General features: G+C 48.5%; 1 protein-coding gene across 2 annotated transcripts in view, besides 2 other annotated features; it reads right to left on the minus strand.

The window, feature by feature from the left end:
* The window catches only part of MYLK3 (myosin light chain kinase 3), a 60,965-nt gene that overhangs the window by 9,039 nt on the left and 24,787 nt on the right, over window positions 1-27,139 (minus strand). Inside the window, exons 3-10 of one of the 2 annotated variants that reach the window (NM_182493.3) lie at window positions 26,391-26,823; window positions 20,888-21,348; window positions 19,273-19,378; window positions 18,274-18,367; window positions 17,704-17,813; window positions 15,916-16,057; window positions 9,803-9,873; window positions 1,328-1,456 (exon numbers count right to left, since the gene is read on the minus strand). In NM_182493.3, coding sequence (NP_872299.2) covers window positions 1,328-1,456; window positions 9,803-9,873; window positions 15,916-16,057; window positions 17,704-17,813; window positions 18,274-18,367; window positions 19,273-19,378; window positions 20,888-21,348; window positions 26,391-26,823 — 1,546 coding nt within the window. The remainder of the gene's footprint in view (window positions 1-1,327; window positions 1,457-9,802; window positions 9,874-15,915; window positions 16,058-17,703; window positions 17,814-18,273; window positions 18,368-19,272; window positions 19,379-20,887; window positions 21,349-26,390; window positions 26,824-27,139) is intronic. The other variant, NM_001308301.1, reaches the window with a different exon arrangement.
* Window positions 15,578-16,128: an enhancer, noted in NCBI's record as "H3K27ac-H3K4me1 hESC enhancer chr16:46760810-46761360 (GRCh37/hg19 assembly coordinates)". NCBI's record gives its function as "activates a minimal SCP1, AML or CMV promoter by ChIP-STARR-seq in primed H9 embryonic stem cells {active_cell/tissue: H9 hESC(primed)}" and the evidence as "EXISTENCE:reporter gene assay evidence [ECO:0000049][PMID:30033119]".
* Window positions 24,281-24,980: an enhancer, noted in NCBI's record as "H3K27ac hESC enhancer chr16:46769513-46770212 (GRCh37/hg19 assembly coordinates)". NCBI's record gives its function as "activates a minimal SCP1, AML or CMV promoter by ChIP-STARR-seq in primed H9 embryonic stem cells {active_cell/tissue: H9 hESC(primed)}" and the evidence as "EXISTENCE:reporter gene assay evidence [ECO:0000049][PMID:30033119]".

Below are 27,139 nucleotides of genomic sequence, written 5' to 3' on the forward strand. Positions count from 1 at the left end.
CAGCAGTTACACAATAATCAGGAGACCAGAAGTAAAACATGACTTTACCTCTGAGGAAGCAGCCACGGGAAGTCCACAGCCAGACAGAGAAGAAAACAGGGAGCACAGGGGTTCAATGATGCCACAAAGGGTATCCTGCCCTGCCCCCCACCCCCTTACCCCTTCGGTGCACTCCAGCCTCATTTGGGTTTTTATTTTGTTTTGTCTTTAAACAGTGCCTCATTCTGTCACCCAGGCTGGAGTGCTATGGTGCAATCATAGCTCACCGCAGCCTCAAACTCCTGGGCTCAGGCAATCCTCCCGCCACAGCTTCCCAAAGTGCTGGGATTATAGGCATGATCCAGCTCCATTTGTACCAAAGCACCTGCATGTCTTTGCTGGAGGGCTTTCTCTCCAGCTGAAGCTTGCTTTACCCACCCAGAAGTATCAGGAAATCAATTCCACCCCATCTCCATTAGTCCACAAGGAATAACTGGTAAGAATTAGTGTATAAATACCCCCTAGATGAAATAACTCTCAGGGGGTATTCCATGATGCATTCTGGAGTTCCCCAGCAGAATGAAACTCCAGTTGCCCACAATCGGGCCTTACTCTCGATGAATACCTTTGTTATTTTCAGTTATTACTTTTATGTCTCAGTACCAAAAAATTCAATGGCTCAAGCCATAATTTTTTTTTTTTTTTTTTTGAGACATGGTCTTGCTCTGTCACTCAGGCTGGAATGCAATGGCATGATCATGGCTCACTGCAGCCTCAACTTCCCAGGCTCAAGCAATCCTCCCACCTCAGTCTCCCTAGTAACTGGGACGATAGGCACGCACCACAATGCCCAACTAATTTTTTTTGGTTTTGGTAGAGACAGGGTCTCCCTATGTTGCCCAGGTTGGTCTTGAACTCTTTGGCTCAAGCAATCCTCCCACCTTGGCCTCCCAAAGTGCTGCGATTACAGGCATGAGCCACCATGCCCAGCTCAACCCATAACTTTGATACAGCTGCTGAAGCCCAAGTAGGCCTTCCTCACCGAGAAACAGGCCTTTAGACCTTTGTTCCAGGGAATAATATCGGCACATCTCAATTTTTTCAATATTAACCTACTAAAATTATAACTTGGAAATACGACTGCCTTGTAAATATGGTAACTGGCTTGATAACATACCCTTCCCTGGCTCCTTTCCTTCCCCATCTCACTACCCTATTCCTCTATTGGGGTTTCCTGGGGTTACCTCCCAAATAGACTACTTGTGCTCAAAATTTTGCTTCTAAGATTACCCAAAGGAAGACAAATGACCCCTGTCCCCACTTCAGAGCCAGGGTGCTAAGCACTCACAGCATGTAGGTGATGACTCCCACACTCCACATGTCTGTGGGGAATGAGACAAACTCATAATTGACGACTTCTGGGGCCAGGAACTCAGGAGTGCCGAAGTTCACCTTCAGCTTCTCTCGAGGCTTGTACCTGGGGAGAAGGGGAGGGTACAAAGAAGCATGGGGTGAGGCCTGGGAGATGTGGTGCTGGGGCTCATTTCTGGTGGGATGCAGACATTCCCCACTTCCCATCAGCCATATGGCCTGGACTCCACACCCACATTACACCTGTGAATTACTGGGGAATAATCAGATCCCAGGCCCCAAACTTCTGGCTTTTCTAAGTCAGCGATAGAATCAGAAAACCACAGTCTTCCTCCTCCAGGCATTTGCTTCTTTCAGTAGTCAAATTTATGAAACAGAAATTAGGAAGGGGTTAGGGGCAGGCAGAAAATGGGAAGTTATTATTTAATGGGTATAGAATTTCAGTTTTGCAAGATGAAAAAGTTCTGGAGATTGGTTGCACAACAACGAGAATGTACTAATTGTATATATTTATGGTATATATGATGCCTTTTTTTTTTTTTTTTGAAACAGGGTCTCACTCTGTCACCCAAGCTGGAGTGCAGTGATAAGATCTCGGCTCACTGCAACCTCTGCCTCCCAGGCTCAAGCAATTCTCTCACCTCAGCCTCCTGAGTATCTGGGGCTACAGGCACACGCCACTACATCTGACTAATTTTTTGTATTTTTTGTAGAGATGAGGTTTCACCATGTTGCCCAGGCTGGCCTCAAACTCCTGAGCTCAAACAATCTGCCTGTCTCAGCCTCCCAAAGTGCTGGATTACATGCATGAGCCACTACACCCAGCCGGTATATATGATGCTTTGATACATGTGTACATTGTAGGATGGCTAAGTCAAGCTAATTAACATAAGTATTACCTCACATACTTATTTTTTGTGGTGAGAACACTTAAAATCTATTCTCTTGGCAATTCTGAAGTATACAATACATTAACTATAATCACCATGTTGTACAATGGCTCTCTTGAATTTATTCCTCCTTTCTAAGTGAAATATTGTATCCTTTGGCAGACGTCTCCCCAGTGCCACCTGCCCTGTCTTCGGTAACCACCATCCAACTCTCTGCCTGTAAGAGTTTGTCTTTTTTAGATTCCACACCTAAGTGAGATCACGTGGTACTTGTCTTTCTGAGCCTGGCTTATTTCACCTAACATAATGCCCTACAGGGTCATCCATGTTGCTGCAAATGACAGGATTCCCTTATCTTTTGAAGCTGAACAGTATTCATCTGCATATATACACCCCAGATTTTTTATCCACTGATGGACACTAGGTGGTAACTTTTATGTTATGTATTTTTTTAACCACAATTCCAAAAATAAAAAATTAGAAAAAGTTCTGGACATGAAGTTTAAGGCTAGGAAGAGAGTCAACGGTTGAGTGGGAAAGGGGGGCAAACAGTGTGTTTTAGAATCACTCTTGAAGAAAAAGAGTCTCTAGCTAAAATTTCATGGGCACTTTATTTGCCAGATACTATGCTAAAAGTTTTATACATGTATAGCATCTCTTTCCCTCCTCCCAATAGCCCTATGAAATAGGTAGGATTATTGTCCCCATTTTATAGATGAGGCAATTGAGAATAACAATAATAAAATAAATAAAATGAACATTCTGCCAATATGCCCTGCTTCCTTTAAATCAGCTTTCAGAGAGCAGTCTCCTCTCCTCCAAATTTGCTGAGAGCCAGGCAGACAAAGACTCAGCGCCAACACAGCTGAGCCCATCCAGTGAAAGAGCAGCAAGGTGACGGGGGTTGAAGGACTGGGCCTCGGGGGGCAAGCGCTCCTCTGGCACCTGTCCCTCCCCTGCCCAGCAGCTGACCCAGGACTCAAGGATCAGGAGCCGAACTCCAACTAAGGGAAGAGCCTTCCCCTCAAGGAGAAGCCCCCAAAGCCACTCTCCCCAGTTGCATTACTGTTCCCAGTGCCTCTTCGTGCCCCACAGCCACACCTCGTGTCATGTGACTTTGTAGTTCCCTCCACAAGAGGTGTAATATATCACCCCCACTGACAGTGGGCCCATGCCAACCTAGGCCATCAGAGCTTGTCCTCTCCTTCACCATCACCATGAGAATGAGGGCACACGGAGCAGACCCACCCTCACTGACCTGCACCCTGGATTCAAGCCCAACTGTGCCCAGTCTAGATCAGCGACTCCCAGTCAGGGGTATGTGGGTAAATGCTTCACAATCATCTATTTGTTTTTGTTGTTGTTTTAAAGCCCTGATTTGTAGCATTTGCAATTTCTGTGGTGTAGATACCAATTTCACCATGGTCAATGTCAAGGTATTATCATGACGTCACTGAACGAAGGTGGGAAGAGCTGCACAGTGGCACCCCCCTCAAGTATTTCCACCATAGAGACACGATGGGCAGAAGCAACCTCAAGCACAGAGCACAGCAGCATAGTTAGGAAGCAATGGAGTCTGAATATTTAGTATCTTCTATTTTAATATAATTTCTTTATTTGTAAACTTACAGAATTTAATTCTTACTAATGGCTGTGTTTAACAACTGGATTACAAAACTCCTTATCATGAGCTAATACAGTAAGTACTAGTTAAAGTTGCATCCAGCATACCACTCCCCCAGCTAAATCACAAATGTGTGGATGGGAATAAATTACTGTCATGTTAAGCCTCTGGTTTTGGGGTGGTTTGTTACACAGCAGTATTGCAGCAATAGCTAACTGAGACATTCACCCCAAAGCTGTCAAAATATCCATCAAAACGCTCTCTTCATATTCTTAGCTCAAGTCTGTCTATGGCCATAAGGTCAAATAGGAGACCGTATCCTCACAGGGCTCGGGGAAGGCATCCTCTTACTCTGCCAAAGGATCTGATGAAATGGGATCTTTTGTGCTCTGACTCTAGTCTGAGCACTGGACTGGGAGTCAGGGGACTCCCAAAATGTTTAAGATAATTTCCATTGTGTCTCCAGCCTTAACCCTGGACATGTCACTATTTAGATGCACTGATGGCTCTCACTGCCTGGCCTGGGATAAACCTGGTCCCTCTTGCTGGAGATCCTGATATCAGAGAATTGTACAAATATGTGCCTCCACTGCACCAGGAGCCATGTCCCTGCTGAAAACCAACTTTATTTTCTATAGTTTGTATTGGGGGGAAATTAGCATTCCCTTTGTCTTTACAAACATTTATTTATTCTGCAGCATGGAATATGCTTCCTTAACCTGCAAAACCCCCACAGATCCTCTTGGAAAGACACTGTGCCCAAGAAGCAGGCCAGTTTGGCAAAAAACAATTTGCTAAATAAAACTGCTGAATGACCTGTGTGCCAGATGATGGAGGTTGTTTTTGACGTTTTCAGTCCACCTCACAGCCAGAACCTGTGTCTCTGCCAGCCCGGCCCCACGGAGTGCGGTTTCCTGCATTATCATGGGTTTTGGGTGCCTGCCCGTCACCAGAGCCCAGCTGTTTTCCATGAGTGGCCTGCTCTTACATGTGGCACCATGTTTATTTTCTGGAACTTGCCCTCTGCTTCTGGTCCCGCCAGCAAATTCTTGCCCTTGACCAGGTTAAGGAATTTGTCTGACACTTTTGAATGGATTGGGCACTGTAGTGTTATGGGATAGATAGATGGATAGATAGATAGACAGATAGATGTTATGAGAGATATATATAGCCCGCATATATATATATGTATATGTATATATATATAGCCCACATATATATGTATGTGTATATATATATATAGCCCGCATATATGTATGTATGTGTATATATATGTGTGTATATATATATGTGTGTGTGTATGTGTATATATATGTGTGTGTGTGTGTGTGTGTGTGTGTGTGTGTGTGTATGTTTATTCCTGGCTTCTAACTTGCATAGTCCTTGTTATAATGTTGGGACACTTTAGGCCTCAGGAGAGAATCTCTCTCTCTGTCCTTCTCCAGTCCTTCTTTCACCTGCCCAAGGCAGGACTCTACTCTGACTGTGGATCAAAAGACTCTCATTCTAGAGAGGGTCCTGCCCCCTACCCTAAAGGAAGGAATGCAACACAGAAAGGCTAAGAAAAAGACAGGCCTTGCTGGGTTTAGATCATGGGCTTTTTGTCCAATCACCTTTCTATGCCATTGTCAATCATGCCTATGTATTGATGCCTCCATAAAACCCCAAGAGGACAGGGTTGGAGAGCTTCCCGATGGCTGAACATGGGGAGATTCCTGGAGAGAGGGGGCACCCAGGGAAGGCATGGAAGCTCCATGCCCCTTCCCCCATACCTTGCCCTGTGCCCCTCTTCACCTGTATTCTTTGTAATATAAACAAGTAAATGTAAGTAAGTATTTCCTTGAGTTATTTGAGCCATTCCAGCAAATTAAGCAAACCCAAAGAGGGGGTCTTGGGAACCCCAACATGAAGACATTCCATCAGAAGCTCCAGAGGCCTGCACTTGTGACCACTGTCTGGGGGAAGAGAGGGTATCCTTGAGGACTGAGCCCTCAACCTGTGGGATCTGACGCTATCTCCCGGTAGGGGATGTCGGAACTGAACTGCAGGACACCCAGCTGGCATCCACTGCTCACTGGTAGGGAACCCAGCTGCCCGCTTTTGATCACAGAAGTCTTCAGTGTTGTTTGCTGTGGTGTGAGAGCAGAGGAAATACAATTTGAGAGTTTTTCCCCAAACAGCCACTCAGCATGGAGGCTTTTGGCTTGACTAATTTTTGGTAAATTGACCTATAGCCCTTTTCACATCCCCACCAGGTAAGACTCTGTGGCCTATAGGATAATGTTCAGACGTGTGAGCCTCGCATTCAGGATTCCCCATTAGTGCCCTCATCTTCCACTGTATGTTCCCCCAACCAGCCCGCACATACACGGCATGCACCCTGTTCTCAGCCCATAACTCACAGGGCGCCCCCCCCACCTCCCCTCCAGGCAGTGCTGCACTAGAGCCGGCTCTCAGGTGCACGGGAGTCCTGAGTGCCTCTCCTTCCAACTCCACCTTCAGTGATATCATCTTGGTAGTGTGTAATTAGCAAACCCTGGCAAAGATTACAAATCAAACCCATCCCCTCTCACTCCCCACTCCCCCAGGCTGGTGCTGAAGCATTTGCCAGCATAGCAGCATTGCCTGCAGACAGCAAATCCTGTCCACCAGTCCCTGCCAACCGCTCAGAAAAGCCTTCCCAGATTTCAGGGGTGTCCAATAATTGCTTCTTTCTTGGTGTTCACAATGTGTCCCTGCAAATGCTCATTTGGCAGCGGGCCATCAGGTATTTGAGAGTGTACTGCATACACCAGCATGTGCATTCTCAGTGAAGACAATATTGCCCCATGGGGGACAAACATTGGTTCTTGGGGGACAAAACAACCTTAGCTATTGCAATGGTTTGTGGCTCTCCAAAGGGCCACAGCACATAAACAGATACACAGTACATCAGTGGTATTAAATTTCATGGCATAGGGGGACTAGGCAATTGGGGAAATAAAGTCAAAAAGGGCTCACTACAGGGCAGGCAGCGATAATGAAATAGGTTGAGAAACACTGCCCTAGTGTATACAACGTGCAAGCATGTGGGAGGCATCTGAATTTTATAGCACATTACCAGGGAAAATACTAAGCAATTTGCTAACATGATAGATTGAATGTGATTTTTTTTCTGTTCATGAACTACAATACACTGTGTGATAGAGACCCTGTCTCGTGGGATGATGTGAAATTCCTCCTGCGGTTACACTAGCAGCACATGGGGCACTGAAAATGCATCATCACACTGCAAATGGGTAATGTTTACACTTCAACCAGTGGAGGAGTGACCAGGAAGACCAGCACTGAGGGTGTAGGTGCTGCTTGGGAGGCAGGTGCTGGAAGGCAGAGCTGAGCTCAGGCGCGCGGCTCTGCATCCAGGGGCGATGCTGTGTTTCCTTCCACTCGTGGATGTGATAGAGGGTACCGCGTGGCCATGAAATAACAAAACTACTTCTGCATGGAAAACAGCCATCAGGGCCAGGCGTGGTGGCTCACGCCTGTAATCCCAGCACTTTGGGAGGCTGAGGCGGGCAGATCACTTGAAGTCAGGAGTTCAAGACCAGCCTGGCCAACATGGTGAAACCCTGTCTCTACTAAAAATATAAAAATTAGCCAGGCGTGGTGGCAGGCGCCTGCAGTTCCAGCTACTCGGGAGGCTGAGGCAGGAAAATTGTTTGAACCCAGGAGGCAGAGGTTGCAGTGAGCCTGACAGAGCAAGACTCTGTCTGAAAAAAAAAGAGGAAGAAGAAAACAGCCAGCCATTAGGAGAGAGAAGGAGCTTCCAGAAGAGTTGAAAATTCAGCTGCAGCTGAAAGACCTACCTGGAAGATATGTGATTCGGCCTGCCGTGGTGGCTCATACCTATAATCCCAGCACTTTGGGAGGCCAGGCAGGCGGATCACGACGTCAAGAGATCAAGACCATCCTGGCCAACATGGTGAAACCCCGTCTCTACTAAAAATACAAAAATTAGCTGGGCATGGTGGCGGCCACCTGTAATCCCAGCTACTTGGGAAGCGGAGGCAGGAGAATTGCTTGAATCCAGGAGACGGAGGTTGCAGTGAGCCGAGATCGTGCCACTGCACTCCAGCCTGGGTGACAGCATGAGACTCGGTCTCAAAAAAAAAAAAAAAAGAAGATATGTGATTCCCAGAGAAATGTCATTCTCGGAGGAAACAGAATCCTGGAGGAATCCTAGAAGCTGGGCATACAACTACTGCCATGTTTACGAACTGAGGATGCCTGAAGGTTTAGGGGAAGCCTTCCCAAATGCCAAGGGTCTGCTACTACCACTGCCAAGAACCCACACCACTGGGCATGCATGCCGTGGGCAGGAGCTCTCCAGGCGCACAGTATTCAGCACACATGTGACTGGACTTCACAGCACCTATCTGTGAAGAGAGTAGGGTGATGGTGAAGGGAGCCACTGAGTGGGGTGCTGGGCTGCTCAGTTCTGTGGGTTCCGCAGGCCTCCTGGGGCTAGGACATGCTGGGCTATGCGATGCATCTGTCACCACCCCTGCCCTCCAGGAAATGACCAGTTTAAATACAAAAAGTGAGTATGTGACAGTGTTGGGTGGCGCCATGGGTAGTGTGGCACCCCTGGGCTACACAGCAACATTAGCCACACTGCACTAGGCTTCAGGCATTTTAAGAGACTATGAGATTTTTAACATCATATACAATGGGCCTGATGTGGTGGCTCACGCCTGTAATCCCAGTACTTTGGGAGTCTGAGGCAGGAGGATCACTTGAGGTCAGGAGTTTGAGACCAGTCTGACCCACTTAGTGAAACCCCATTTCTACTAAAAATACAAAAATTAGCCACGTGTGGTGGCAGGCGCCTGTAATCCCAACTACTTGGGAGGCTAAGGCAGGTGAATTGCTAGAATCCGGGAGGCAGAGGTTGTAGTGAACAGAGATTGCACCACTGCACTCCAGTCTGGGCAACAGAGCAAGACTCCATCTCAAAATAATAATAAATAATATACAATGTTTACTTTATTTATTATTTATTTATTTTTAGACAGGGTCTAGCTCTACTGCCCAGACTGGAGTGTAATAGTGTGATTTTGGCTCACTGCAGGCTCAAGTGATCCTCCCACCTCAGCCTCCCAAGTAGCTGAGACTACAGGTGCTCATCACCATGCTGGGCTAATTTTTGTATTTTTTGTAGAGATGAGGTCTTGCTGTGTTGCCCAGGCTGGTCTCGAACTCCTGGGGTCAAGAGATCCTCCCTCCTTGGCCTTCCAAAAGTGTTGGGATTATAAGCATTAGCCACTGTGCTGGGCCTACAATGTTTACTTTATGCCCTGAAACTTGAGAACCTAACCTCCTGGATAGGATGGGTCCACACTGTCTGTGTATTTTCTCATTTAACCCTCATAACCACCCCATGCCAGCAGGTAATGTATTATATCACCATTTCACCAAGATGTAAACCAGTCCTGAGTGGTTACAGAAACACCTACCCATGGCGCCACCCAACACTGTCACATACTCACTTTTTGTATTTAATCTGGTCATTTCCTGGAGGGCAGGGATGGTGACAGATGCATCACATAGCCCAGCACCTCCTGGCCCCAGGATGCCTGGGGAACCCATAGAACTAAGCAGCCCAGCACCTCGCTCAGCAGCCCCCTTCACCATCACTCTCCTCTCTTCTGACAGGTGGAGTGAAGTTCAGTTAATTCCATAGCCTTTTAGGAAGAAGCAGAGCCCACAGCACAAAGCCAGCCCATGCAAGAGCAACAAGGCCTGTCTGCAAGTCAAAGGCCACCAGCTTCTGCACACAAGAGCTTTCTTGCATCAGTTCCAAAACTCAAGCATTAGCTGGGTCAGGAGTAACCATGCCCAGAGAGCCACAAAGAGTCCCAAGGAATTTTGTTAAGGTATCTAAATAAAACCCCCTTACCTTCTGGCCAGCCCAAAGTCAATGATCTTAATTTGATGTCCTGTCTGATTGACGCACAATATGTTCTCCGGCTGGGAAAGAAAGAAGTCTGCTTAGCCCAAGCAATAGCTGAGGAGGTCTGCAGCTGCCACACTTGTCTATAGGCCTCTGTTTTCCAGCCTTCAAGGGACATGAATGGCTCAGGGCAGCCCTGCAAGGGCTGGATAGATAATGGAAATACATGAAGGGGCTGGTGAGACAATAAGGATTGGTGTAGAGTGTGGGGAACTGGAGGCTCCCAGCCTGTGTAAAGGGACAGCACTACCCAGTACCAGACACTGGTCACTATGTAGGAGTGCAGACACAATGCCAGAGTTTTTCAGTCCTCAAGAGAAGCCGGGAATTCAGGGGTGTTTTGTTTGGTCAGTTTTGTTTTTAATTTAAAAAACAGAGATGGGGTCTCGCCATGTTGCCCAGGCCTGTCTCGAATTGCTGGGCTCAAGAGATCCTCCAGCCTCAGCCTCCCAAAATGCTGGGCTTACAGGCGTGAGCCACCATGTCCAGCTAGGAATTCAGGTTTTTATGTGAAAATTCCATGCTTTTAAATGTTAACAACTAAACGAAATCTAAACTCACGTCTCAGAACCCAACAGAATACCTCTGTGATATATAATTGGCCCATGAGCTGCTTGTATGGGGCTGGGTTCCCAACCCTGGCTGTACATTGGAATCATCAGGGGAGCTTTTAAAATCCCAATGTTATACTGGAATGCTAAGAGAATTAAAAAAAGAAGAAAAAGAAAAAGTCCCAGTGCCGAGGCCTCAATCCTGACCAATTACATCAGAACCTCTGGGGTGAGACCAAAGCATCACTGGTTGGTTAAGGAGAGCAGAGCTGCTGAATGTCCACCTGCCATTCTGCAGTGACAGCTGTGGCCCATGGCATGAGGGTGGCAGCCTTGGCACGCCTCTCCTCTTAGGGCATTTGGATCAGCTCTGAGGCCCTGAGGGAGTCTGGAAGGATGCTCGCTGCTCATGCATGACAAATTTGGGGGTATGTGTGTTGGGGGCTTGGGGAGAGAAGCTGAGTGAAGATGTAGGGCTTATGATAGACAGGACTTGCAGACCCAGGGTCCAGTGCCTGAGGCCCAGGGGCTCATTACCTGGTTCTGTAGCCCGAGATGAGTCCCTCCCCATTCCTGAAGACTCAATGTCTCCATACGTAAAACGGGAGTAATAACCTCTTCCTGTCTGTCCCCCCAGAGGGTGTGAGGATAAAATGACATAACATGCATGAAACACTTTACAGCTTCCAAAGCAAATGTCAGCTACTGTTTCTCCCAACAGAAGTTTTCATTGTTATTTATGTTACAATGGGGTTGTACAATTCCTCAGATAGGTGTGAGAGAATGGTGTTTAAAAATCTCTGTCTTCTATATAAGATCTAGAATAACACTGTCCAATAAAAATATAATGTGAGCCACATATATAGTAATTTAAAGTTTACTAGAATGTACATTTAAAAAGGTCAAAAGAAACAGGTGAACTTAAATTTTATAACATTATAAGTAATACAAATAATACTGATTTTTACCATAAAACTCACCTTTTTTGGGGTGGGGGTGGGGACAGAGTTTCACTCTTGTTGCCCAGGCTGGAGGGCAGTGACACGATCTCGGCTCACTGCAACCTCCGCCTCCCAGGTTCAAGTGATTCTCCTGCCTCAGCCTCCCGAGTAGCTGGGATTACAGGTGTGGGCCACCACACCCAGCAAATTTGTTTGTATTTTTAGTTGAGACGGGGTTTCACCATGTTGGCCAGGCTGGTCTCAAACTCCCGACCTCAGGTGATCTGCCTGCCTCAACCTCCCAAAGTACTGGGATCACAGGCATGAGCCCCTCACCATTTTAAAGTGTGCGATTCAATTATTTTTAGTATATTCACAGAGTTGTGTAATGATATCACTATCTAATTTTGGAACATTTTCATCACCTCAAAAAAAAAACAAAACCATACCCATCATCAGTTCCTGTCCATTCTTTCCTCACTTCCCACCCCATGGCAATCATTAATGTATTCTCTTTCTCTGTGGATTTGCCTATTCTGGACATTTCATATAAATGGAATCATAAAAGATATGGCCTTTCATGTCTGATTTCTTTCACTTACCAGAATGTTTTCAAGGTTTATCCGTGTTGTGTAGCAGGTATCAGCACTTCATTCCTTTTCATGGCTAAATAATATTCCATTGTATGGATTAGACCATATTTTGTTTATCCGTTAACTAATAAAATTAATGAATATCTGGGTTGTTTACACTTTTGGCTATTATAAGTAATGCTGCTAAAAACATTTGTGTGCAAGTTTTTGTGTCAACTTATGTTTTAATTCTCTTAGGGGTATAGCTAGGAGTAAAATTGCTGGGTTATATGGTAATTCTATGTTTAGCATTTTTAGGAACTGCCAAACTTTTTAAAAAGCGAATGCACATTTTACAACCCCACCAGCAATGTATGAGGGTTCCAATTTTCCCATATCCTAGCTGATGCTTTTTTTTTTTTTTTTTGAGATGGGGTTTCACTCTTGTCACCCAGGCTGGAGTGCAGTGCCCTGATTCCGCTCACCGCAACCTCCACCTCCCAGGTTCAAGTGATTCTCCTGCCTCAGCCTCCCGAGTAGCTGGGATTACAGGCATGTGCCACGACACCCAGATAATTTTGTATTTTTAGTAGATATGGGGCTTCTCCATGTTGGTCAGGCTGGGCTCAAATTCCAGAGCTCAGGTGATCCGCCTGCCTCGGCCTCCCAAAGTGCTGGGATTACAGGCGTGAGCCACCGTGCCCAGACTTTAACACTTTTTATTGTCTGTCATTTTTACTTTTTATTGTAGTCAGTCTAGTGGATATGAAATAGTATCTCATTCTGATTTTGATTTACAATTCCCTAGTGACTAATGATGCTGAGAATCACTTCATGTGCTTAGTGGCAATTGTATGTTTTCATTGGATAAATATCTATTCAAATCCTTTGACCATTTTTAAATTGGGTTATTTCTTTCTATTGTTGAGTTATAAGAGTTTGTTATATGTTGTAGATACAAATCCTTTATCTGATATATGATTTGGAAATATTTTCTCCCATTCTGTGAGCTATTATTTTACTTTTCTCATGGTATCCTTTGAAGTATGAGATTTTTTTCATTTTGATGAAGTCTAATTTATCTTTTTTTAATTATATTTTTAGTGTCATATCTAAGAAACCATTGCCTAATCCAAGGTCATAAGGATTTATTACTATGTTTTCTTCTAACAATTTTATAGTTTTAGCTCTTACATTTACGTCTACAATCCATTTTGAATTAATTTTTGTATATGGTGTGAGGTAAGGGTCCAACTTCGTTCTTTCACATGTAGCTCCCTAGCATGGGGTCCCAGCACAATTGTTGAAAAGACTATAATTTTCTACTGAATTGTCATAGCACCATTGTCACAAATCAATTGACCATAAATGTAATGGTTTATGTCTAGACTCTCAAGTGTATTAATTTGATGCACATATCTAACCTTACATTAGTAATACGTTGTTTTGGTTTCTGTAGCATTGTAGAAAGTTTCAAAATTGGGAAAAGTTAGTCCTCCAAATTCGTTCTTTTTCAAGATTGTTTTTGTTATTCTAGGTCCCTTGAATTCCCATCTGAATTTTAGGATTTCATTAATATCTGGAAAGAAGCCAGCTATGACTTTGATAAGGATTATGTTGAATCTATAGATCAATGGGGGAGTATTGTCACCTTAACAATATTAAATTTTCCAATCCATGACCATGGCATGCCTTTCCATTTATTTAGGTCTTTGAATTATCTTAACATTTTGTTGTAGTTTTCAGAGAATGTCTTGCACTTATTTTGTTAATTTTTTTCTAAGTATATTTCTAAGTGTATTTTTTCTTTTGATATTGTCATAAATGAAATTATTTTCTTGATTTTATTTACAGATTGTTCAGTCCCAGTATTTAGAAATACAATTGATTTTTGTATATTTGTCTTGTATACTGCAACCTTGATGAATTTATTAATCCTAATAGTCTCCTCTCTTTAAGAGTTTTTATATACAAGAGCGTGTCATTTGCAAATAGAGACAGTTTTACTTCCTTCCCAATCTGAATGCCTTTTATTTTCTTGCCTAATTGCCCTAGTGATAGCCTCCAGTAAAATGTTTAATACAAGTTGCAAGAACAGATATCCTTGTCTTATTCCTGATTTTAAGGAGAAAACATTCAGTCTCCTACTACAAACTATAGTGTCAGCTGTGGGTTTTTCACAAATGGCCGTTATCAGGTTGAGGAAGTTCTGTTCCTCATTTGTTTATTATTTTCATCATGAAAAGTTTTTGGATTTTGTCAATTATTTTTTCTCATCTATTAAAATGATTACATGATTTCATCCTTTATTCTATTAATATGGCCCATTACGTTGGTTGATTTTCATATGTTAAACCAACCTTGCATTCTTGGGATAAATTCCACTTTGTCATGAATATAATCCTTTTTATATGTTTTATTCAGTTTGCTAATACTTTATTGAGAATTTTTGCATCTATATCCATAAGGGATTTTGGTCTGTAGCCCTCTTTCCTTGTGATGTCTTTGATTTTGGTATCAGGATAAGATTAGCCTCATAAAATGAGAAGCAAGTGTTCTCTCCTCTTCTATTTTTGGAAGAATTTGTAAAGGTGTTAATTCTTCTTCAAACATTTGGTTTTTATTGCATTTGCTTTTGGGTTCTTGCTCATGAAATCCTTGCCTAAGCCAATGTCTAGAAGGATTTTTTCCAATGTTATCTTCTACAATTTTTAGTTTCAGGCCTTAGATTTAAGTCCTTGATCCATCTTGAGTTGATTTTTGTATAAGGTGAGAGATGAGGATCCAGTTTCATTCTCTTACATGTGGCTTGCCAATTATCCCAGCACCATTTGTTGAATAGGGTGTCATTTCTTCACTTGTTTTTGTTTGCTTTGTCAGTCAGTTGGCTGTAAGTATTAGGGTTTATTTCTGGGTTCTCGATTATGTTCCATTGGTCTATGTGCCTATTTTTATGCCAGTACCATATACCACTCAGCGCCTATTATTATGCCAGTACCATATACTACTCAGCCATAAAAAGGAATGAATTAATGGCATTTGCAGCCATCTGGGCTAGGTGTGGTGGCTCATGCCTGTAATCCCAGCACTTTGGGAGGCTGAGGCAGGATTGCTTGAGTCCAGGAGTTCAAGACCAGCCTGGGCAACATGGTGAAACCTTGTCTCTATACAAAATACAAAAATTAGCCAAGTGTGGTGGCACGTGCCTGTAGTCCTAGCTACTTGGGAGACTGAGGATCACTTAAGCCTGGGAGGTCCAGGCTGCAGTGAGATATGATGGCACCACTGCACTCCAGCCTGGGCAACAGAGAGAGGCCCTGTCTCCAAAAAAGAAAGAGAGGAGAGAGGAGAGAAGAGAGAGAGAGAGAGAAAAGAGAAAGAGAAAGAAAAAGAAAGTGAGAGAAAGAAAGAAAGAAGAAAGAAAAAGAAAGAAAGAGAAAGAAAGAAAGAAAGAAAGAAAGAAAGAAAGAAAGAAAGAAAGAAAGAAAGAAAGAAAAGAAAGAGAGAGAGAAAGAAAGAAAAGAAAGAGAGAGAGGGGGAGGGAGGGAGGGAAGAATGCATCGTAGGATCTCCTTTTGTGTGTCTGTGAGTCATGCCAGCTTGCTCACAGAGAAGTCCCTTCCGCACGGAGGGCTGGCGGGAGGAACTTTCACTGTGTATTTTACACACTACTCTGTTGTCTATAGTTGTTACCAAAAGCCTATGTTCCCTTTTGAACTTTTAAAAAAAGTAATCTTAAAGATATTTTTAAAGAAGAAAAGCTCATTGTTTCACTTAATCTTCAAATAATACTTAAAGAGGTACCATTATCCAGATGGAAGAACTACAGCCCCAAGAGGCAGCAAGAGTGGCCTGTCCCAGACTCCAGAACTACAAAATGACAGAGAGCCAGGAATGGAAGCTGGGACTGTCTGTGGATAGAGCTCTCAATGGTGAGAGCACGCCAGGAGCTAGGACACCAGGGGCCCCTACCGCATGCCCAGGGCAGAACCCACCTTGAGGTCCAGGTGCAGGATGTAGTGCTGGTGCAGGTAATGCACACCCTCACAGATCTGCCTGGTGAACAGGACCACATCCAGCTCAGTCAGGTGGTACTTCTCATCTGTGATCCGGTCGAAGAGCTCACCCCCGTCCACGCTGCCAGAGCAAAGGGAGAGGCAGGCACCAGCCTAAGCAAGGCTCTTCAGGGCTTGTCCACTGTCATTATAGGGCCAAAAGAGGCCAGCCCGGGTAGGCCCACCATCACACCCCATGGGTCACAGGGCTGCTGCCACTGCCCTTGGGTTTTTTGTGTGTTTTGTTTTTAGACAGAGTCTCACCCTGTCGCCCAGGCTGGAGTGCAGTGGCGCGATCTCTGCTCACTGCAACCTCCGTCTCCTGGGTTCAAGTGATTCTCCTGCCTCAGCTTTCCAAGTAGCTGGGATTATAGGTGCTCACCACCACACCCGGCTAATTTTTGTATTTTTAATAGAGACAGGGTTTCACCATGTCGGTCAGCCTTGTCTCGAACTCCTGACCTCATGTGATCCACCCACCTCGGCCTCCCGAAGTGCTGAGATTATAGGCGTGAGCCACCCCGCCGGGCCTGCCATTGGGGTTTTATTGGGACCTTTGCTCCAGTCTGCTCCCAGCAAAGATTAGGCGTGGTAAAAAGGAAGTGACAGGTCAAAGGGAAGAGGGGATGGCCATCAGTGTTGATGATCCAGGCACACTCTGGATGATTCTGACCAGGGCTGTGAACTCATTCACCTATGGAGGCCAACTCAGACCTTTGTGGCATAAGCCTAAATGGGCCAATAAGGCCATACATGAAGCAAACATGTTCTGAAGACACATAGTCTTTCGCTTATCTTTTCTTTTTCCACTTTCAATAAGGACATGACATGACAAATGTTTTACTCTCTTCAGCTCTGCCCATAAGGAAAACAGCAACACAAGCACAAATATGAACGGCCTCTGAGCCCTTGGCCCCAGCACTGGGGCGGTTGGGAGTGGTGGGGATTGTGGCAAAGGAAGCCTGGTCACCCTGTATACAAACAGCAACCCCTGGGAGCTCCCACACATCACTTCCACTTGGAAAGGCAGGCCCGGCATTTACTACATCTTTTATGTTTTCAAGAAAAGCCAGATATCTAGGTTTTAATGTGAAGCTTCCTAATTTCCAATGGTTAACAACAAATCCCACATTACTAAAAATAGGCAGAGTGTGGTGGCTCACACCTGTAATCCCAGCACTTTGGGAAGCTGAGGCAGAAGTATCACTTGAGTTCAGGAGTTCAAGACCAGCCTGGGCGACATAGCAAGACCTCATCTCTACAAAAAATTTAAAAATTAGCTGGGCATTGTGGCACACGCCTGTGGTCACAGCTTCATGGGAGGCTACAGTGGGAGGATCACTGGAGTCTGGGAGTTCAAGGCTGCAGTGAGCTGTGATCACACCACTGCACTCCAGCCTGGGTGACAGAGTAAGACCTTGTCTCTAAAAAAAGTTTCAATTTAATTTAATTTTCAAAAAATCACTGAAAGTAGTATAGGTCAATTGACATACATACACCTGCAGGTCAAATCAGGCTCACTGGCCACTGGTTTGTGACAAAGTTGCTTTGTCCTCCACATTCCGTATTGGAGGTCAAATAGCCAAGCCAGAGAAGACAGGATGACACGACCCTGGACGTGCCAGGAAGGGGAAAGGAGAGAGAGGGCTTTGCCTCGAATGAAGGCTCTAAGCCCCAGCACTGAGCCCTGGCTTGAGCCGAGGCGGCCGCCCCGCCTCTGATACTCACTACTCCATGACAAGGGTGCAGCTGTGCTTGCTCTCGAAGGCGTCATAGAGCTGGATCAGGTTCACGTGGCTGAGCTGGTTCATGATGTTGATCTCGTTCTTCACGTCCTCCTTGGGGGAACCAGAGGACAGAAGGATTTCCAAGCGAATGAGTCAAGAAGAGGAGCCAGCTGACCTCCCAAGACAGACACAGAACTCCTCATTCTTCCTTAGTTTCCTATTCTCACACCAGGTCTCCCTGACTCAACACCCAAACCAGATTCTACAACACAAAGGGCCTGAGTGTGACCCACTCATCTCACAGACAGGAAACCTAAGGCCCAACAAGGACAGGACCTTCTTGCCCCAGGCCCCACAGGCAGCTCTACAGAGCTGTGCCTGGACACCTGCGCATGGAGGGTGGGTCTGGACCCAGGGCTGTGAAGGGGACTGCCTGACTGGAGGGTGGGAATTCTGGAAAAGAGCAGGAATAAGTAGCATTTCCAGCTCAGCATGGGAGCCTGGGGGCCCTGAGGGAAGGAAAGGAATCCTGAGGCTGGCCACAGGGACCTGGCCCAGCCAGATGCCTCACCCGGTCCTTGGCGCTCTTCACTTTGATGATCTTGGCAGCCAGTGGGAGGCCTGTGGACTTCTCTGTGCACCTGTGGACCTGGCCAAACCGACCCCTGCAGAGACATAGCCACACGGCAGGCTGAGAGCCCAGAGGCTCATCCCACACCCATCCCTGGACTTCTGGGTCCAACTCATCCACACACAGGCCATGTGGACCATCCTACATCCCAGAGTGCAGCCTGTCATCACCCCAAAACCCTGCTGGCTATCCCGAAACCTGCAAAGCAACTCTTCACCCCACACCACCCAGGCCATTCCACATCCCAGGGAACATCCCCTCATCCCTCACCACTGAGGCCATCCTGCACCCGAAGGAACATCCCCTTCACCCCACACCACCCAGGCCATCCTGCACCCCAGGGAACATCCCCTCACCCCACACCACCCAGGCCATCCTGCACCCCAGGGAACATCCCCTCACCCCACACCACCCAGGCCATCCTGCACCCCAGGGAACATCTCCTCACCCCACACCACTGAGGCCATCCTGCACCTGAAGGAACATCCCCCTCACCGCACACCACCTGGGCCATCCTGCACCCCAGGGAACATCCCCTCACCCCACACCACCTGGGCCATCTTGCATCCCAGGGAACATCCCCTCACCCCACACCACCTGGGCTATCCACCCTAAAGAAGCTTCTCCTCACCCCACCTCATGTCGGCTTTCCGGCCACCTCCAGGCTGTGCCTCCTCCCATACCCACAGGGTGCCCGCCCTCCTGAGCCTCCCCTCCCCGATGCCACGTGGGCTCTCGTGTCCTCTCAAGCTATTCTCTTTCCCCTACTCTGTGGGCCACCATGCACCCCATGCTGTACAGGATGTCCCACCCCAGCCTTGGCTCCATCAGCTCGAGAGAGAGTCATCCTGCAGCACCCACCCCAGTTCTCCAGGTGGTCCCGACCCTGCCCCGTGACTCCTGCTCTAAGCCCCCCAACCAAGGCAGATGCCCACCTACCCTCCCAAGACTTCGTGCTGGCACACCTCGTAACCCGCAGAGATGGAGGTCTCCTTGACGCTCACTACCCGGTGTTCAAAAGGAGCTGGTGGGGCCGGACTGTCATCTGCTCAGGAGGCAATAAGGACCTGTGAGCCTCCTCTGTGCAGCCCACACCTCTCGGTCACCTGTGCCAGACCCACTTAGCTTCTCTTGGTCCACCAGGCCCTATGTACAGCCCTGGTATTTGAAACCTTTTCTCCAAACCATCTCAGTAGAGCCATCCATTCGGCAGAGAAGGGAGCCCGTGACAGACAGCACTCAAACCCAGGTCTCCCGGCACCCAGGACAGTGCCCTTGGCAAGGCCGAGAAGTTCTATCCAGTCTGTTCATGACATCTAGAAGGTGATCCTAGTGGATCTGTGTGGCCCACAGGAAACAGAGGGCCCATGTGGACAAGGTGATGGGGCAGTTAGTGACGCCACTATTTTTAAAGGGACTGTAAAGTCAGGGCTGTGGAAACTCATGAGGGTGTTATGAGAGGGAGGCAGCTGGAGAAATAAACATCCACCCTCTCTCCTCTCACCCTCCATCTCCTGCCAGCTGAGCCCAACCAGAAGCTCAGCATGACAGCCCGTGATGGAGCCAGAGGGGCAGGCCCCGGGGCACAGGATTGGGGAGGGGGTGGACAGGGGATCTGTCGGCAAGGGAAATAGAGGACGGCCAGCACTTGGAAAGGTTTGCTTGTTTGTTTGTTTTTTAATGGTTTAGGGTTGTTTTATTTTAATCTTGTCCTTCAGAGGTGATATGAATACCTAGAAATGTTACAGGAAATAGACTAAATGAATAAAACAGAATCTAGAACACACAGCAAGTGCAGTGGTATGAACCGGTTGTGCACCAAGGGCTGGAAGGAAGTTGGCTCGGGCTAGCGTTTGTTCAGTGCTCGCCATGGGAGCACTTTGCCTGCTCTCCAACTACCGGGAACACCGACAGTGGTCCGTGGACAATTCTCAGACCAAGGAGGGTGTGACCCTAGGGCTGGAGGGGTTGAGGGCTTTTAGATCATAAGAACACACCCTGGGTCACTAGCCCGGGTGGGTGGGAATGGCTGACAGTGGTCACAGACACCAATTCATGTCTTCGCTTTTTAACAGAGCCTTCTCTCTCTCAATCCAAAATGAGACTCATGGTGGCAAGCTCAGGTGGGCAGGTGGCGGTAAGAAATCTCCCCAGTGGCCAGGCACAGCGGCTTATGCCTGCAATCCCAAAGCTCTGGGAGGCCGAGGCTGGAGGATCACTTGAACCTGGGTCAAGCCTGCAGGGGACTATGATCATGCCACTGGACTCCAGCCTGGGCAACAGAGCAAGACCCTGTCTCCAAAAAAGGAAATGTACCCAGGTGGGCCACACGTGTCCCCTCTCCCTTACCCCTGCAGCCAGCCCAAGTTCAGGCCCCACATCTCTGCGCCTTGGTCTCCAGCCCCAGGATGTACCTGGAGATGTTCCCGACTCTTGGACGCCCCCAGACTCATATGATCTACCCCTGGAAGCTACAGGAAGACTCCCCAGGAGTAGGGGCTCCAAACTCCCTCCCCTCAGGGCTCGTGTCTAGCCAGGCAACAGCCCCACTTACCCAGAACCACGCTGCCAGCCTCGGCGCCTGGGGGCATCCTCCTTACTGCTTCAGCTCTCACCGGAGCCCTGGCTGCACAGTCCTGCTCAGGCTCAGGGTTTCCCGCCCCTGGGCTTTTGCCCTGCTGCAGGCCCAGGGCCCCAACCTCGTGGTCATTGTCGTCACTCCTGGCCAAGCTTGGTCTCGTGCCAGGCTCGGCCCCAGCCCTTTGCTCCTCCTCTGCCTTCACTCCCCCGGGGCTGCTGCTCTCCTGCAGCGGGGAGAGCTCTCTGGCTCCTTCAGGGGTCTGTTCTCCGGGCTCAGTCCCAGGGGCTTGGAGGCAGCGCCCGGTCCCAGGTGGGCCCTGCTTGCCTGGCTGGGCAGCTGCTGGAGCCTCTGTGGTGAGGGTGGGTCCAAGGCTGCCCCTGCCTGTCATCAGCATCTCCCCAGGAGTATCCATCTCTTGTATGTGGATGGAGATCCTGGGGTGGAGAGAAACATGGTGCTGAGGTTAGAGGCAAGGACTCTGGAGTCAGAACAGACGTGGGTTCCAATGCCCACTGCTGCCATCATTGACAATGGCCCTGGGGCCCTGCTAGACAGGACACCAGGGCAGGAGCTGACTTCAGTGACAGTTGGTGCCATCAGCTCCCAGGATCCCACCGGATGAGGGTCCTGGGAAGCTTGAGAATGGACAGGGGTGAGGACCATACACCCCTGAGAACCTGCTTCTGTCCCAGGAGAACTGAGGCCTGTAGGCGGGAGGCCCGGGTCCCTCTACCTTCCCCTGGGCCCAGTTTCCCTTTCACTTAAATGAAGATAAGGAGAAACCAACTCAAACGTCACACTGGAAGCCCCAGATCAGAAGTATTTGTTTAAAATCAGTCAATTCCAGCTGGGCACAGTGGCTCACACCTGTAATCCCAGTGCTTTGGGAGGCCAAGGTGGGAGGATCCCTTGAGGCCAGGAGTTTGAGACCAGCCTGGGCAACATAGCAAGACCCCACCTCTACAAAAAATAATTTTAAAAAACTTAGCCAGGAGTGGTGGTCCCAGATACTCAGGAGGCTGAGGCAAGAGGACTGCTTAAACCCAGGAGATGGAGGCTACAGTGAGCTATGATCATACCACTGCACTCCAGCCTGGGCGACAGAGTGAGAGACCCTGTCTCAAAAACTAAAATAAAATAAAATCAGGCAATTCTCATAAAAGACTAGACTTTCTGTTCATCTTGAACAAACAGAAGAGCTGGCTGTGCTGGGCCCACGTGCCCACATGGTTGAGGAACAGCTCTCCACTTCAGCACAGGCCCTGCGCACCCTGGCAATGCCCCAGCTCACTTCACTCATTTTCACTGCCCAGACTCTGCAATACTAGGGTTTGTGAGCCCAGATGGAGGTGGGAAAGGCCCTCTGAGCCCCGACCTCTAGAAGGAAGGACCCTGATCCTGGCAGTCAAGTCACCCGGGAATCCAAACCCTCTCTCTCCGAGTCTCCCCACCTCTGGCTGCCTCTTGGTGGGGCTTCTTTTTGCTGGGCCACAATCCCACAGCACGGGGTCTATGTGTGTTAGGGGGTGAGGGTGACAGTGTCTGGCGGGGACTGAGTCTCAGCAGGGAGGCAGGTGGCCTCGATTCTGGGCTTAGCTCTGCCAGCAGGTTGCTGGACAGCTTTGGATAAGTCTGGCCTCAGTTCTCTCTTTTCTCTTCAGGGACGGTGATACCTTACAGATGCACCAAGAGTCAACCAAGAGAGGAAGGCACAAATGCAGGGGTTCAAAAGGGCTAAAATGGCACAACTGCTGTGGAAAACTGGAGGCTCTTCAGAAATTAAAAGTAGGATTACCGCATGTTTCAGCAACTCCACTTCTGGGTATATATCCCAGAGAATCCAAAGCAGGGTCTCCAAGAGACATCTGTACACTCATAACTGTAGCAGCATTACTCACAAAAGCCAAAAGGTGGAAGCAACCCAAATGCCCAGTGATGGATAATACATAGACAGAAGGTGGTGTCTACGCATTATATAGCACAGAATACTATTCAGCCTTAAAGAGGAGGGACGTTCTGACACACACTACAGCATCGATGGACCCTGAGGACACTGTGCTCAGTGAAATGAGCCAGGCACAAAAAGACAAATCCTGTGGCCAGGTGCAGTGGCTCACATCTGTAATCCCAGCGCTTTGGGAGGCCAAGGAGAATGGATCACCTGAGATCAGGAGTTTGATACCAGACTGGCCAACATGGAGAAAGTCCATCTCTACTAAAAATACAAAAATTAGCTGAGTGTGGTGGCACGTGCTTGTAGTCCCAGCTACTTGGGAGGCTGAGGGAGGAGAATAGCTAATCGCTTGAACCCAGGAGGTGGAGTTTGCAGTGAGTTGAGATCATGCCACTGCACTCCAGCCTGGGTGACACAGTGAGACTCCATCACACACACACACACAAAAAGACAAATCCTGTATGATTCCACTGATATTAGGACCCTCAAATACTCAGATTCATGGAGACAGAAAGTACAATGGTGGCTGTCAAGGGCTGAGGGGCAGGAGGTGTTATTTAGTGGATGATGAATCTCAGTTTTGCTAGATGGAAACGTCCTGGAGATCTGTCTCACAACAACGTGAATATACTTAACACTACTGAGTGTACACTTTTAAAAGGTTAAGATGGGGCTGGGCACTGTGGCTCACACTTGTAATCCCAGCACTTTGGGAGGCTGAGGCAGGAGGATCACTTGAGGCCAGGAGTTCGAGACCAGCCTGAGCAACATAGTGGGACCTGTCTCTACAAAAACATAAAAAATTAACCAGGCATGGTGGCACATGCTTGTAATCCCAGCTACACTGCAGGCTGAGGCAGGAGGCTCACTTGAGCCCGAGAAGTGGAGGCTGAAGTGAGCCGAGATGGCACCACTGCACTCCAGCCTCGGTGACAGAGTGAGACCCTGTCTCAAAAAAAAAAAAGGAGGGGGGCGCTAAGATGTTAAATTTTACATTATGTGGTTTTTACCCCTATTTATTTATTTATTTATTTGCAACAAAGTCTCGGTCTTGTCCCCTAGGCTGGAGTGCAATGGCACAATCTTGGCTCACCGCAACCTCCGCCTCCCAGGTTCAAGAGATTCTCCTGCCTCAGTCTCCTGAGTAGCTGGGATTACAGGCACCCGCCACCATGCCCAGCTAATTTTTGTATTTTTAGTAGAGACAGGGTTTCACCATTTTGGCCAGGCTGGTCTTGAACTCTTGACCTCAGCTGATCCGCCCGCCTCGGCCTCCCAAAGTGCTGGGATTACAAGCATGAGCCACTGTGCCTGGACAGTTTTTATCCCAATTTTTTAAAAGAAAACAGTGACGCCTTTCTCCAGCAGCTGAAGGCCCCGTCCCCGTGTCTGAGCTGCTGGACCTCTCTGACACACCTGTCCCTAGGTGCGTGTGACTCACTGGGTGGGAGGTAGAAATCCTTCCAACACTGTGCCTTGGGACTGGGCATGGTTCGGTAATGACAGGTAGGAAGGGAAGTGTGGCATCCATAGCAAGGCACTCCAAATCTAACTCAGGCCTCCTGCCAGACCAAGGGACACAGGAAACTGCTGCCAGTCAACGGTCAGCTGAGAAGGCCAGCAGTCATGACTTCCCTTTGGGTCTTCACTTCCAGGGGCATGAAGTGAAGCCCCTAAAGGCACTTACAAGCAGCTCCTGCCACCTTCAGTACCCAAAGCTGTCTACCCGCCATGTGGCAGACTCACGGCAGGCAGTGCTGACCAGGTCCAGCTCAATGCCTCAGTAGTCATGGCCTCAGGATCCTCTGGGTTTGTTTGTTGTTGTTGTTGTTTGTTTCAAATAGGGTCTCACTTTGTCTCCCAGGCTGGAGTGCAATGGTGTGATCATAACTCACTACAGCCTCAACCTCCTGGGCTCAAGTGATCCTCCCACCTCAGCCTCCCCAGTAGCATGCATGGATTACAGGTGCACGCCACCATGCCCACGGTAGCCCAGCTAATTTTTGTAGAGATAGGGTCTTGCTTTGTTGCCCAGGCTGGCCTCAAGCTCCTAGGCTCAAGCGATCCTCCCGCCTCGGCCTCTCACAGTGCTGGGATCAAGGCATGAGCCACAGTGCCCGGCAGGATCCTCTGCACAGGCAGCCATGGCCCGTCAGAGCTGATACTTGACTTCCAACCTATTTTCCTCAAAATACACCCATGTCTGAGGTGAGGAAGGGCAGGTAGTGATCTCCTCTCTTCCTGAGGCCGCTGCAGGTCTGCTGGGCCTGAATTCAGCCAAGGGTTGAAACTGAGATAGAGAACTTTTCTTCTCTGTCAGAATCTTTTGAGGCCCCTAACAACTTCATAGACAGTTCACCCCCAGCCCCAGATTCCACATTTAGTGTCCTGGTTCCGATCCCGGGATGCCTGCCAGGAACCCCTTCCTCCATCCTGCGAGGCCTCCTGGGAGGCTCCCATTTCCTCCTAGAACCAAGTCTGACAAATGATCTGGGCTTCTCTGCCTGTCACCACAGCAAACACAGACACCAGATCCACTCCCTGAGCCAGGCTTGGGTTCTCCGTGACAGGTCAGGGCCACCCTAGGCAGGCGCAGAAGATGCTAGGAAACACCAGGTCCCTCCGAGAGAAGCCCGGGGCCACAGCGCCCTTCAGCAGGGCTGCCCTGGGGACCGGGACGTGCTGGGGAGGGCATGAGAGTCTGCGGGTTCTTTACTCTGCTACAGACATCTGCCTGCCGAGAGCAGGTCCTCAGGCTGCGTTCTAGGGGCAGGGCAGCTGCCACGACTCCACCTCCAGGACTTCTGCGTGAGCCTGCTGAAAGCTCCTGGGGCTGACTCAGCCTGCACTCCTCTCACATTCCTGAGGGCCCTGTCCTTCTCTCCCCACCATATTATTTAGAACTTAATTAAATGCCGACTTGAGGAAGCAGGATGGTGCAGTGATTGGGGCACAGGTTCCGGAATCCGGTAACCCGGATTCAGATCCCAACTCTATGAATTCCTAGCTGTGGGGCCCTGGGCACTGGGAGCCTAAGTATTCTCATCAATGAAATGGGGATAACAACCACATTCACCTTCTGTGGATGGCTTGAGAATAGAAGGTGAACCCGGTGAAATGCCCAGCCAATGGCCAGCTCAGGGGCAGGTGCTCCGTGAGCCCCATCTTTTAGCTACTGTTAGTACTGATCTAAGAGCTAGTGATTCTCAACCCTGTTCCCCATTAGGACCACCTGGGAAGCATGTAAAAAAGAAAAATCTAATTCCTGAGACTCACTCCAGACCAATTCAATCAACATCTCCAGGCATCTTTATTTTCCAAACTCCCCCCAGTTATTTCTAGTGGGCAGCCGGTGAGCACTGGTACTCTAAGCTCCCAGAGGCAGGGCCCAGGCCTCCTCCCCATTCCCCTCGCAAGAACAGCCCAGGAACATGTATGCAGTGGATGCTGCCCACGGCCGAGCTCCAGCGAGGGGCCACAGTCCATCCCCTCCCTCACCCAGCCTGGAAGAGCTCCCCTTACCTTGGAGGTGTTTCTCCACCACTGTGGGTTGCCCTGGCCTGGGCTGGCAGCCCTGGAGGCCCTGGGCACTGAGGGCCAGGCCCTGGAGTCAGCCTCGTGCCTTCCTCTAAGGGCTCAGGGTCAGGCCTGCTGGACGATGCTCCTTGTCCTGCACCTGGTGCAACCTCCAGGCTCGGGGAGACCACATTGACCCTGCCGGGTGCTGGAGCCAATTCCAGGCCAGTCCTGAGGTTCTCGCTGGGTGTCTCAGGAGCCTTGGCTTCCACCTTTGTGGGCAGGGGCAGGTGGCCAGGGAATGCCTGGGCTGGGCCAGGAACACCATCTCCCTGGCCCGGTGAGACCACTGCCTGGGCGGGGTCAGCTCCCAGCCCTGACGCTCTGATGGGGGGCAGCCTCTCCGCTGTCCCCTCCAGCACGTCCGCCTTCTGGCTCTCTACAGGAAAACAGGCAGGACAAAAATGCACTCCCATGTGGAGGAGTCTGCCACAAAGATACTGCAAGGAATCTGCACAAGGCCATTCAGTGCTCAGGTTTATAATAGCCAAAGACTGGAAGCAACCCAAATGAAAGGGGCTGGTTGACTAAACCATGATGCATCCAACAAGGAGTGCGGCACAGCCGTGAAAAAGGAGAAATTAATATCTCTATGGAAGCCTGGGCAACACAATGAAAGCTTGCCTCTACTAAAAATAAACATTTTTAAATGAGTTGGGCATGGTCACATGTGCCTGCAATCCCAGCTACTTGGG

The sequence above is a fragment of the Homo sapiens genome, chromosome 16, assembly GCF_000001405.40.
Source record: "Homo sapiens chromosome 16, GRCh38.p14 Primary Assembly".
Taxonomy (NCBI): Eukaryota; Metazoa; Chordata; class Mammalia; order Primates; family Hominidae; genus Homo; species Homo sapiens.